We start from the raw sequence: 14403 nt of genomic DNA, 5'->3' as shown, positions 1-14403 counted from the left end.
TTTAACCTCTGAATTTCATTTGCCTTATTTGTAAAATGCAGGTGATGCTATTTACCTCATAATGCTACTTTGAAAGTTAAATGACATTAAGTACTTAGTACTGTGCTTAGGATACACTGGTATAATTACTAATAGTAATTATCAGACTGAGTTCCTGTTGAACGCAATCTGTTTCATAGCTTTCACCTATTTCCCTATTAATTGCTCTTATGTTTCATGGTATTTTTGTAAAATTTTATAAAGTTTATGGAAGTGAACAAATTTATTAACAAAGTAGGATTTGTATGAACCATGGGATGATTTTCTATCTTTTCTAGACTCATAATTTAGTATTCCCTTATCAGCAGTGGGACAACAACATTTTCAATGGTACCATATTAACCCAAAAGTGTTATATGTCTCTTCCACCCCACAAAGTACTTTTCCTTCTAAAATCTGTTTTAAATAGTGAGCAAATCTTATTAAGTAAGTATCATTTAAGACAAAAGAGTTGTAAAGTTTAATAACTCACAGTCATGAAAATAACTTGTACAAAATTTTTAAATGACTATATTATATCTGGGTAACTGTTGCTTCCCCAATTTTCATGTTTCATAGATGAGATATATATCTCTCAAATGTGTATATATACATGCATATATGCATATATATGTATATCTATAAATATGCATACCCATGTGTATGTAATGTGTGTGTATATATATACATATATATGCATATATATACACACATATGCATATATACACATATGCATATATATATACACACACATATATATACACACACACACCATCAAATAAAGTCTTGTGTCTCTGTATTAATCTTTAGTACCATCTACAAGAATTCTATATTCTATATAGATTTTTACCTTTTGAGAGCTGGAACTCTTAAATTGTTTAGCAAATTTACATAAAATTCACAAAATTTATGAGTTTTATAAAATGTAATGGTTCATAAAATTTCAGTTTAAATTTTCAAAGCCTTTTCCTATCATGCCTTTTCTTAAAACTATTAAAAGAAAAACTGGTACTTTAAAACTTTCATATCTGCCTTTTGGTAAAGGAATATTAGGGAAATAGCCACCAGACTGACTGGTGGTAAACAGACAATATTTTACATCTGTATAGCATTAACAGCTTTTAAACTATTCTTACAGATATTTCACTTAATTCTCACAACCATATGAATCGAACACAGCAACTTTTATTCCCACTTTATAGAAATGAAATTCAATGTCATTTAAGTAACTACATATAAAAACTAGGACCTAAGTTTTCTGCCTTTTAATTTAAACACTTTCCACTTCTTCACATTGCTTCTCACATGGATCATTTACAATACTGTACAACTGGGATCTGAATAATAGCTATGGTCATAAGGAAAGACAAGAATATTAAAACATGGCAAAGTAGGTTAAACAGGAAAAGTATGTTAAATTTTGCAGTTAAGAAGGGGGGTTAGTGCATAAGTACTTAATTTTTTGAGAATTTAATAATTAATCAAAGAGAATGCTTGAGAGATTATGAGGAAATGGAGACACAGGCACTTATTTGCAAATTATCTGTGGTGTGGGTGTAGCACTTTTTTCTTGTCTTAAACTTCTGAGTCACAGTGGCAAATTAAAACTTCTTTTGGAGAGGAAGAATCCTGCTTGCAATTATGCCCTCGGGAAATGGTTTCACAATCCTTACCATATTTTATAAATAAATAAGGCTACAGCAAAAAGATTCCCTTTAGTTAGAAAAATAATTTCTAAGAGCAACTCAGATTTTCTAAAAACAAATAGAAACTTCAGCTACATGGCTAAACACACATCTTTACTCAGAATCTGAAAAAGGTCTCTTATTTTGGAAAAAAGAAAAAGATTAAAGAGTAATGATACTCTTTCAAATAAAAAGCGAGGTGAACAACAGGAAAGGGTGGGTGTGGGAGTGAAGGCTGTGCACAGTGGGCTCAGGCAGGGTTTAAATGAATAACATTTCCCCAAGTCCAGTTTACTAGAGAGTAAACAGAGAATCAAGACAGACAAAATCAGACTTCCAGGGATTCTCCCCCAAAGTCAGAGTTAATAAAACACATATTTTCCCTTAAAACTTTTCCCCTCAAAGACAAATAATAATTTGCTATTGTGACTCAAACAGAAGGTAAGAAAGAAATGCCCTAATCTCCACAAATCTACACATATGCATATACATGAGCATTATTCTTGAAACAATATGACAAAGCCATTACCTTCCTGTCCTATATTACCCAAAAGTCTATAATATTTGATGCTAGAATTTAAAATAAGGTATAATATGCTCTATTTACATGAACCAGTTTAATTAGTTCATTTTTTACTCATTTCCTGTGACAATCTCTTGTATTACATAAGCCTTAATATTTACCTGAACCTCTGAATTGGAGTCAACAGGCTGTAATGAAAACCAAGTTTCTTTGCCACTGTGATTACACAAGTCTTCTTTTTTGATGGCTACTTTTCCTACAGAAAATAAGTAAAACAATATAAGAAAACATGCTTCGTATAATCCTAAGACTCATTAGCACTGTTTTATATAATACTTTATAGAAAATATTTTAAAATGATTTGTACCTATTGACATAAAAATCCATTTTTATAAAGCATTTTTTCTACATTCTAAAGAATGAAAAAGTGTCTCATTTCTCCTTGCCCCTTGGCAGACATTTGTCTGGGTCATTTTGAATCAGGGGATTAGATAAAACCTCAGTTGTATTACAGGCAACTGCATTTTTTTAGTACTTATTCAGATTCATGTTTTTACCCAGAGTACACTCATTATAAAAAGCAAGGTACAATGGTAGTGCAAACTAATCTTCCCAATTTTTTGACCCTAAGAACAAATGACAAGTTTTGAGCAGATGTATCTGCATTTAGTAAGAGTTTATAAATTCCAATTAAGAGAAAAGGAAAAACAATATCATACATCATTAACAACAGTGAAAACTGACTTGAAAATTATGGGAGATTATAACAATTTTATTATTAAGAATTTACTTTTATCAAAACATTGCAAACACTGATTATGTTGCTCCAATACATACAAAAATTAAGGCAGTTCTCTAAAGAGTTTAAACCCTCTCAGAGGAAGATACAGTACAATGAACATAGTAGTATGAGAGGAAGAAACAGAAATGTTCTTATAATAAAATATTTGCCATCTTGGTACAAAGCATTTCCTTCCTCAATTCAAGTTTTAAGAAGTAGACACAGTTTTGCATAAGACTAATGATTTATTCCAGGATTCTACACAAAAGTTTCAACAAAGGATATATAAAGTTAAAAGCAGTTCACTTTCTTTTGTCAAGTAAGAATTTTCATTTTATACGCCCTAATTCTACTTTATTTCCTTGTACTTATGATATACCTTGGTCTTTTAGTTCAACATTTGAAAACTTTAAGAAAATTGTAAAGAAATTTTTCTGTCAAGATACGTCAACTTTTGTATATCAAGTGAAAAGGAAGGAACAGGAAAACAAACACAAACTATGCTTAAAATTTCACTCTGGAATTAGTGGTGACAGTTACACAACTCTGTGAATATATTAAGGCCCCCACCACACCATACACTTTTTTTAATTTAAAAAATATTTTAATTCACCCAAGCCATTAGTGCTGGAAAAAAGAAAAAAAGATGTATTTTGAAATAATTTCAAACAGAGAAAAGTTACAAGAACCGTACACTAAAAATTTCCATATTTTCTACTCACATTCCCCTACTGTTAACTTTTATAATGTTTCTCTCCCTCTAACGTATATAATGATTCTTTTTCTGAACCACTGAAAAGCAAATATAATGTATACCTTAAAAGGGTGAATTAATGGTATGTGAATTACATCTCAATAAAACTGTTATTTTTAGAATGTAACCACATTACAGTTTTTGATAAGCTTCTCATTCATGTCTTGGAATTCAAACTGTAAAGACAATCGATACATCTAATTTTAAAGAAAATAGTAAAGTACACAGCTGTATTTTATTAAAGAGTTTGTAACTGTATTAAAAAAATACGAGTGGTAACTGTATTAAAAAAATACAATCGAAGGAGGCCTATTGAAAGTTCATCTTTATATGTCTATGAATACATGAAGTTAAAACATATAAAATTTTAAAATAAATTGGTCCTGATAACAAATACGTATCTTCCCAACTTTCTTTTGAATACTTTGGATAAAATGTAATTGAAGATCAAAATCTTTATGTGAATATACAGCATTTATAGTTCATTCAAATCACATGGAAAATGACACTAGGGAAATAATGTATTTTAGTTCTTTTTTGGTTAAATTTAAGATAAAAATGATGGGAAAACAGAAATTCTTATAGTATTAAATACACAGATTAAAAGCCAAATATAAAATTCAGGTACTAACTGGAATACTCAAATGTTCCTTAAACTGCAGGAAGAATTTAGGTTAAGAGACAAATCATCCAAATCTCTGGATATGTTTTATCTATGAATTGTATCAAATTCCTGGCAAATCCATATATTACCAGGAATGGCTTAAGATATAAAATTATGACAAAGTATTCAATATTGCACACCACAAATGATTACCATAATTCTATCAAGTAGTCCTAATTACCACAGATTCCACACCAGACATAAATAAAATGTTAAGGCAATGCATAACAGTTTGATACTCAAAAAATATATATGTACATACAGAAATACATCTATACATCCTATAGCTGAAGCTCTTACCTTTTGAGAACCATTATCCTCCCTTTAAGAATCTTTGTAACTGTGTATCTTTTATGTCCTCTCCCCAGAAAAAGGACAGATAATATCTGGCACAAAATTTTAAGAGAGTTTACTTACCATCCAGAAACGAATCAGTAGACTTCTGGTGAAATTTCTACTTTACAATTTCCATAATTTTTAGTTTTGTACACAATTTATGAATATGTATATAGATGTACATATGTACATACATATAATACATACAAACACCACTAAAACAAGTCCCAAATTCTAAAAGAGGGTTGCCTACAAAGTTTATTTAGGAGTTTATTGGTTTGACAAATTCATTCCCTCATTCAACAATCACAATGGCATTGTGTTGTAAATGCTGATTTGATTTCCAGGCTTCCCTAACCAAACTCTATTTAACTAACAATGCTGCTAAAAACTAGAGTAGAAATTTACCTGTCCTATTTATGACTCACTACTCTCAGATCACTGGAAATACATCTCATCTGTCACAGGTGCCTTCCCAAAAGAGAATCCTCTCTTAGTCACACAGGTAATATATTCTAAAGCAAGCAGCCTCTTCCTCCTATTCTGCATCATGAGTATCATGACATTCACTGTCACTGAAGAGTTGAATGTTTCTTGTCCTATGAGAGGGAAACCCTTCTCTGACTAGCTGCATAAACAAGTCATTTGTGAGCTGAGAATAATCTGTAATTTTATTGCCAGCTCTTATTCTTAAGCTCCTTTTTAAGATGTCAGTTTCTGATATGTAAAGATCTAGTTGCATGAGGCCAGTTGGCCTGAAGAAACAGAGAAGAAAGAGTACATGATTCCACAAAGTTAGAGAAAATGATATATAAGAATGGCACAGGAAAATTAAGAAAAATATTTGAAGTTAATAGGTAGCAGGATACCTACAACATGTCCAGCACTTTATTAGGCAATATAACATATAAAAAGAAATATACATCATCAGCCCAAGGGAATAAAACAGGGAAGAGGGAGAGGAGAAGACAGACAAAGAATGAAGGAGGAAAAAAGGTGGAAGGATAAATGAGAAGGAAGTACGGGAGAGGGAGAAGAGAGGATGGGGAAAGAAGGAACAAGTTTCTGAAACACAAATAGAATAAAAAAAAAAGCCTCACGATTCTGATTTGTTGTTTAATCACTAAACTGGCAGGCATTAACAGTAAAAGGTAGGCAGCCCGACACAGTGGAAAGAGCACTGAACTGAAAGAAAAGCCAGCATTTACTGAGTCTCTACCAGGTAGGAGACATTCTTATATATTTTCTTGTTTAATTTTCCTAACAATCTTGGAGGTAGAGGGTATAATCACCATCTTACAGATGAGGAAAGCTGAACAATATTTTTAAACTTGCCGCTAACAGGTGCTGCAGCCAGATTTTGAAACCAAGGCATGCCTGTTTGTGCTCCTTCCAACACAAACACTAATTCCATAACCTAGTGTCAATTCTGTTACTTATTAGCTGTGTAATCTCGGGTGAATTACTCAAACTCTACATCTGATGTGCCTCCTCTGCATTAGAATGACTTTTAACTTAATGATCTTAAAAACCCTTTTTGTGCCTCTAATAGTCCCAAAGATTGTTTTAGTTTAGTGTTTACTATTTTCTTTTATTTATGTATTTTTTTTAATTTTTTTTTTGAGACAGAGTCTTGCTCTGCTGCCCAGGATGGAGTGTAGTGGCATGATTACAGCTCACTGCAGCCTCGATCTCCTGGGCTCAGGTGATCCTCCCATTTCAGCCTCCCAAGTAGCCAGAAGTAATTTTTACAGTTGGTCCCAGTTGGCTACTTTTTATAGTTTTTGTAGAGATGGGTTTTCACCATGTTGCCGAGGCTGGTCTTGAACTTTTGAGCTTAAGCAGTCCAACTGCCTTGGCCTCCCAAAGTGCTGGGGTTATAGACATGAGCCACTGTGGCCAGTTGTTGATTACTATTTTAAACAAAATTAATTCATTATTTCACTAGCTATGAAGTTACCAACTTCAAAAAAAATCAAACACATCTGGGTGCAGTGGTGCATGCCTGTAGTTCCAGGTACCTGGGAAGCTGAGACAGGAGGACTGCTTGAGCCCAGGAGTTCAAGTCCAGCCTGGGCAACACAGTGAGACCCCCAACTCTTAAAAAAAAAAAGTCAACAAGAAACAAACGTCCCAACAAATCATTTAAAGTTAGTACTTCATTTCCTCACTGTCCTGACAAACTCACAGACAGAAAGAGCTTAAAACCAAACATATACACACCAGATGCTGTATTAGTTCCTTAAAATCAGACAAAGAAAGGAAACACAAAAGGAAATGAAGGAACTGTGGGCACAGAAACCACCTTTGTTGATCTTTAAATAAAAAAAAAGCATTTTTAGCTTTCTAATACCATTTTTCAGCAGCATTTTCTTGCCATCAGTAAATACTGTGTTACCCTTGGGACCCATTTTTAGATACAATATATTCTTAGAAATTTCAGCCTGATACAATTCACCAATTAGGAAAATCCTGATAGTCCTGTTCCTACTTGAGCACTAGCAGAAATGGCTAAAAGAGGAGATAAAAACAGTGACAGGCCGGGCATGGTGGCTCACGCGTGTAATCCTAGCACTTTGGGAGGCTGAGGTGGGTGGATTGCCTGAGCTCAGGAGTTTGAGACTAGCCTGGGCAACACGGTGAAACCCCATCTCTACTAAAATACAAAAAATTAGCCGAGCGTGGCAGTGTGCGCCTGTAGTCCCAGCTACTCGGGAGGCTGAGACAAGAGAATTGCTTGAACCCAGGAGGCAGAGGTTGCAGTAAGATGAAATCATGCCACGCCACTGCACTCCAGCCTGGGCGACAGAGCAAGACTCCATCTCAAAAAAACAAACAAACAAAAACAGTGACAAATATTACTGTCTATAGAAAAATGAAACAGGACCAGAGGACTGAACAAATCCTGGCAAACAGTCAACAGCAGCAATTTAGAGACAATGGCAGCACTTCGAAGCCTTAGTGTACGAGGTTTCGATAGACATATTTTGGTCTTTGTGGTAAACTGGTATATTAATGGCCTCCATAACTCCTGGTTATCTACACCATTGTGTGGTCTCCTATAGCACTGACTCTTGGATTATGTGACTTGCTTTTACCAATGGGACATCAGCAAATGTGACACACCTTTGCATTAGGGCTTGCCTTCTTAGAACCAATCAGGAGACCATGTGGTGAGGAAGGTCCAGCTAATAGTCAGCACCAACCATCAGACATATGAATCAGACCAGCCAGCCCCAATCTCCCAGATAACTGCACATCAGCCCCAGGCGAGACCAGCCGAGCCACTCAGCTAGGTTCAGCTCAAACTGACAAACAATAGGATCATGAGTAAATGTACGGTTGCTGTATTAAGCCAGTAAGTATTGGAGTACTTACATAGCAGTAGATAACTGATATAGTCCCTGTGCAAACAGACACCAAAGTGTAGCCATAAGCAATTTATACACAGTAAATTTTGCTTAAAAGCTAAATGTCAGCAGAAATTACAATTCAAAGTGTTGGAAAAGACCTTAGCAATTTTAAACCCAATCTTATTTTATGGATGAACCAGGCCTAAGAAAATGACTCAATGAAGATCACATAGATAGATAGTGACATAGTCATGACTGGTATTCAGGTCTCTGACATTCTAGTAAAATCCTTTCATTTCTATATGGTTCTGAACCAAGGTGGAGTGAGGGGTCGGGGAGAACTGCCAGAGTCTACTAAGATAGTCAGTTTACTTGTTTGAGCTCTAGAAAAATAGTCATAGTTTACTTGTTTGAGCTCTTGAATAACAAAATAACTAAAAAATACATAATAGGAGGTAAAACATTTATGTTTTAATTTCAATATTATTAGAATCCTCATTGGAAATAAAAATATATGCTTAAAGTTTTTCTTTTTCTCTCATTTTGTACTAACAGTTCCTAGCATATAAAGATGCCTAATATAAACAATTATGCCCCGAATTAATAACAATTATTACCTCTGGGAAGAGGACTGGGAGGAGGCAGTGGTCAAAAGTAATTTAGGCTGGGCACGGTGGCTCACGCCTGCAATTCCAGCACTTTGGGAGGCTAAGGCAGGTGGATAAGAGTTTGAGACCAGCCTGGCCAAATGGCGAAACCTCGTCTCTACTAAAAATATAAAAATTAGCCAGGTGTGGGGGTGGGTATTTGTAATCCCAGCTACTCAGGAGGCTGAGGCAGAATTGCTTAAAACCAGGAGGCGGAGGTTGCAGTGAGCCGAGATCATGCCAACGCACTCCAGCCTGGACAACAGGGCAAGTCTTCGTCTCAAAAAAAAAAAAAATGGGATTATCTATGCCATAATTTAAAATTTTTTTACAAAAATAAAAATATCCATACATAAGAAGCAGAGAGAAGCAAACACATTTCCACACTCAGGCTCCTTCTGACTCTCCTAGGTTCCATTAGAGCAGAGTAAGTGCCAGTGTTCCGCCAACCCAGGAACAGGCCCTGCAGACTCAGTGAGAATCATCCCAGAAGAAAACTCAGGAATAAAAATGGAGAAAGTGATACTTCAGACTGAAACTACCAGAAACATCCTGAAAATGAAGCAGAAAAAAAGCAGTCCAGGGACCAGAAAAGCCCTCAGTCCAGTTAATTAAACCATGGAGTAGCCAGGAAGTCCAGAGTTTCCTGCAAGAATGGGAATTTCTTGAGCGTGAAGTGTACGGGGTGAAGAAGTATCACACAGTATCAAAAGCAGTTGCCCCGCATCTCAAGCACAGAGGTATAAAGAAGAGCTGGCAGGAATGTCTCCAGATGCTGATAAGCTTGCAGGACTTATACTTCACTATTCATGAGGCCAACCAGAGGCCAAGGTGCCACCCCTTGCAATGTCCTTATGGAGAGGCCCTGCACAGGATTCTGGGATACAGATGGAAGATCAGCGTCTTCTCAGGTCCTCCCTGTGCTGATGTGGCTGACCTTGCACCTCCCGAGCACCAGCCCCACGCCTATGGCATTCCCGGAGACTTTCAGGAGCCGATGTGGGCCCCAACACCTGTGATCTATATGGAAAATGCTCAGGTACCCAGATGGGAGCCCTGGAACATGAACCTGCCATGGTCAGTTCTACAGATGTATCCTGCCTTTCTCTCAGCAGCCCCGGGCCCTCCACCACAGTGGTCCATCTCTACTGACTGATCCAGATTTAGAAGACAGTTAGAATCTGGATCCTGATTCTATCAGAAAGACTGAAAAACAGCACAATCTGTGTGTGTTGGTGCATGACTCCTTCCTCTCTTTGCCTGGTACAATGAGAATAAATGTGAAATAAATGAATGACAAAAAAAAAATCCATACATTACTCATGTAATTAAAAATAAAAAACCCCTAAAATCTATCTATGCTCAACTTGTACTGAATCTAAGATCTTAAGTTTAAAAGATGATTCTCTAAATTCTAGCTCAAATTTCATTTCCAGAAAATGCTGTGTCAGTGTTTAATCTACAATTGAGTGGCTCCAAATTATAAATTAAGAAAACTCAACTTCCAATAGCTCAAAATTAAAAAAAAAAAAAACCTGTGTGTTAATGACAAAAGAAAATGATACTGAACTAGAAAAATGTTAAAAATGTATAAGTAAAACCATCAACCACTTCCAACCTTAAAGGGTATGTAGTGTGTTTAATAATAACTCTATATGCAAAAGGAAAAAGAATTTTCTGTTAAATGTATAAATTTTATCCCTTAGAAAGAATAAACATTTAAGAAAAAGTTATCACACCAACAGTTACAGCTTTCTGACACCACTCCCTAAACAACTGATTTTTACTAGAAATTATTTTACCTAAAGTTGATTTTTACTTTCAAAATAAACAAAAAACAAAGGCAACTTCTGGAAATCATAAACCTCAACTTTATGCTGCTATTTAAAAGGCCTTAAAGGCCTTTTCAAGAAATATTACCTTAAGATTATAACATGTAAAGAGACGAAAATTACTAAACATTTTTCTTAAGGTATGATGGCCGAAGTTATACATTCTCTCAAAGGTTATTAATAACTACCAATAGCCTCTATCAATCCTTATCTGACTCCACCTTTCTCTAGTTGCTGACATTAAAAGGTTTCCTTATCTTCTCTGACATTAATCTCTCCCATCTTTCTTTCTACTTCCTGATATGCCTTATCTATCTTCAAGTCTCTTCTTCCCTGAAACCCTCCTTATCCACTCCCAGGTAATTTCGTTCATTCCAACACAGGCTTCACCTATCACTTAATGCTAATAACTCTCAAATCTACATCTCTAGCTCTTTTCTCTAAGCTTCAGATCTATATTTCCAACTGTCAACCAACATGTCCACTAAGATGTACCCCGGTAATACTAAGTTTAACTTGTTTGAAACCAAAGTCATCCTCTCCCCTTCTCACTCAAAAGTGAATGTTCTTGCTGTGTTCTTTATCTAATTTAATGACAGCCATACAAACAAGACCATTTTAAACTCTTCTCCTTTTCACATCTCCTGTTCATCTTGGTCCCTATGCCCTATTTGAAACCCCTGAAGTACATTCCCTCATCTGTATTTCCACTGCAACTGCCCTAACTCATTTCATTTGAAAACAGCATACCTGTTGGTCTTCCTGCCTCTAACCGCTCCCTATTCCAAATCAACAACTTCTTATGGCCTACAACAGTACTACAAACTCGATGTATATAGATTACATATTTAAATTAGAATATATAATATCTGCGTGTGTATATAACTGTGTGTGTATATATATCTGTGTATATAAGTGTATGTGTATATATGTGTGTGCATATATATATGTGTATGTAACTATATATAACTGTATATCATATAATACAATATGCAGATTCTTCTGTTTCTAGCAGTACAAATGCATGTATATTATAACACACACACACACACACTCCAGTTATATATAGTTACATACATTCTCAAAAGGTTCAAAACCACTGTCTACAGAATAAAGTCCAAGTTCCTTAGCTTTTGGAATTAAGAATGGTTTCTAGGGTTCATCAGTTTGGTCCCAATTTATATCCTCAGCTTCTATCACCCTCCTCCAGCAGGTACACCACAAACATGATTCATTCTTCCCCCTCTGCTTCTGCCAATCCCTGTCACCTTGAAACTGTTCTTCCTGGTGGGGCGTGGTGGCTCATACCTGTAATCCCAGCACTTTGGGAGGCCAAGGCAGGCAGATCACGAGGTCAGGAGTTCGAGACCAGCCTGGCTGACATGGTGAAACCCTGTCTCTACTAAAAATACAAAAATTAGCTGGGTGTGGTGTTGCATGCCTGTAATCCCAGCTACTTGGAGGCTAAGGCAGGAGAATCGCTTGAACCCAGGAGGTGGAGGTTGCAGTGAACGGAGATCATGTCACTGCACTCCAGCCTGGGCAACAGAGCAAGACTCCATCTCAAAAAAAAAAAAAAAAAAAAGAGAAAAAGAAAAAGAAAAGAAATTGTTCTTCTTTTTCCTACCTATGTAGTCTCTGTTATTCCCCTACCAAATAAAATGAGCTGTTCTCCCTACTATTCTAAGTATTCTGTTCATATCTCCAGCACAGACCCTAATATATTAGTATTAATATATTAGTATTAGACTAGAAGTCTGCCTCTCTGATGAGCAACGAGTCTTACTCATCTTAAAAGTCCCAACCTTTGTGTGCCACGGAGAAGTGTTTGGTAAATGTTAAACTGAATTGAGGATACAGCTTCAAGGGTGATCTATAATCAACAGTTTGCTACAAACAGAAGAGTCTGCATATAAGAAGGCATCAGAGGGAGAAACACATCTAAAAAAATACACCACCATGAAAATGTCTTTTCTTTCACTTTCAGCAAACCGAATAAGCAATCAAGAGAGTGAAATGTGACACAGAGGCAGATAACAATAAAAACTAAGAAAATGCCTTTTGTGAGACAGAGTATTTGGTATGTATATAGCTGACAAAAGTTAACATATCTAAAAATAAGAAGGCTTAAGGATAAATGTTAGAACTCCAACCAAAAGAAAAATAGGCAAAGGAATGAGCAATCAATTCACAGAAGAAAAATGTAAATACCAATAAACATATGAAAAATTCCTCAAATTCCTTCAAAATCAGAAAACACACATTAAAATAATAATGTGTTATTTTTCACCTATCATATTGGCAAATTTTTTTCAATGATAATATGCAAGAATGGCCAGGGGGTGGTAAAATGGTTATGCCCATGACATCTTTGAGGAAATGTAAATTAGTACAACATTTATGTCGTCCATATTAGTATGATACTCTGTGGGGCAGAGGGGCAATACAGAAATTTACAGAGGAAATCATAAAAATGTTCATACCCCTTGACTCAGTATTTTCACTTCTAGGAATTTATCCTGGGGAAAAAGAGACATGCAAAAATTTATGCCAAAGGACATTTGTTCATAGCAACACCATTGAGGATGCCCAAAATTTGGAAATGTAAATGTTCACCAACAAGGATGTGGTTAAAATAAAACACTTTTCTATAAAGGATATTATGTAACAAATAGTTTTAACAAATATTAATGATATGGGGAAAGGATCACTATGGTATTAATTGAAAAGGAAAAAATCTGAATAAAATGTAGTAATACAAATGTATGAAATAAAGAATGGAAGAAATACACCAAATTATTAACTGTAGTTATTTCTGTAGAGAATCACTACCAAATACTAAGAACATATAACAGTTTTATAATTAAGAAAAACATATTGTTTTAAAGGTTATTTGATTAAAATGATGTTGGCAAATTTCAAGAAAGGTTTATCAAAAAAACATAGAAGCCAGATTATAGAGATTTTAAAAGAAATAAGTAGCAAGCAGAGGACTGACACAGACCATTTGTTAAGGAGTTCAATATCAAACACAGAGAAACATCAGAAGTTAGTTAAGAGGACAAAGACAACGCTTAATTTTTTTTTTTTTTTTTTTTTTTTTTTTTTTTTTTTGAGATGGTGTCTTGCTCTGTTGCCGAGGCTGGAGCACAGTGGCACAACCTCAGCTCACTGCAACCTCTGCCTCCCGGATTCAAGCGATTCTTCTGCCTCAGCCTCCTGAGTAGCTGGGACTACAGGTGCGCACCGCCGCTCCAGGCTAATTTTTGTATTTTTAGTAGAGACAGTTTCACCACATTGGCCAGGCTGGTCTTGAACTCCTGACCTCGTGATCTGCCCACCTCGGCCTCCCAAAGTGCTAGGATTACAGGCATGAGCCACTGCACCTGGCCAAATAATGCTTAATTTTTTAAGCTGTAGGAGACTTGACCATATTTCAAATAAAAAAGGAAAGGGAGATGAAATTTAGGATACTAAAAAGAAAGAGAATAAATGTAAATTAGACCTCTGCCTATGATTAAAATACAAAGATAGTGGTGCAAAGATCAGGAATGTGACACATATGTGGCCAGTTAGCTCTGTTCTAGTTCATGCCCACAGATCACACTCTAGTCTGACAATTATTTAAGAAATATATTTATTGGCCGGGAGCAGTGGCTGACGCCTGTAATCCCAGCACTTTGGGAGGCCGAGGTGGGCAGATCACGAGGTCAGGAGATCGAGACCATCCTGGCTAACATGGTGAAACCCTGTCTCTACTAAAAATACAAAAAAAATTAGTCGGGCGTGGTGGTGGGAGCCTGTAGTCCC

The 14403-nt window shown here is 35.8% G+C and overlaps 1 protein-coding gene, 1 long non-coding RNA gene and 1 pseudogene across 7 annotated transcripts in view; 1 reads left to right on the top strand and 2 right to left on the bottom strand.

Annotated features, from left to right (window-relative positions):
* RASA2 (RAS p21 protein activator 2) overlaps nt 1-14403 on the bottom strand; it is a 128318-nt gene that overhangs the window by 83155 nt on the left and 30760 nt on the right. For all 6 annotated transcript variants that reach the window (NM_001303245.3, NM_001303246.3, NM_006506.5 and 3 more), the window contains one exon: nt 2388-2482. In NM_001303245.3, the coding sequence (NP_001290174.1) occupies nt 2388-2482 (95 nt within the window). The remainder of the gene's footprint in view (nt 1-2387; nt 2483-14403) is intronic.
* RASA2-IT1 (RASA2 intronic transcript 1) lies at nt 6069-7057 on the bottom strand. The gene is made up of 2 exons (NR_046792.1): nt 6834-7057; nt 6069-6456 (listed from the first exon to the last, which is right to left on the bottom strand). It is a non-coding gene; the product is annotated as an RASA2 intronic transcript 1 (long non-coding RNA).
* On the top strand, nt 9272-9917 carry LOC124906292 (putative uncharacterized protein MSANTD5; annotated as a pseudogene).

This window comes from Homo sapiens, chromosome 3 (assembly GCF_000001405.40).
Source record: "Homo sapiens chromosome 3, GRCh38.p14 Primary Assembly".
Lineage (NCBI taxonomy): Eukaryota > Metazoa > Chordata > Mammalia > Primates > Hominidae > Homo > Homo sapiens.
The sequence above is the reverse complement of the archived record's forward strand: the minus strand, read 5'-3'. Positions and strand labels throughout refer to the sequence as shown.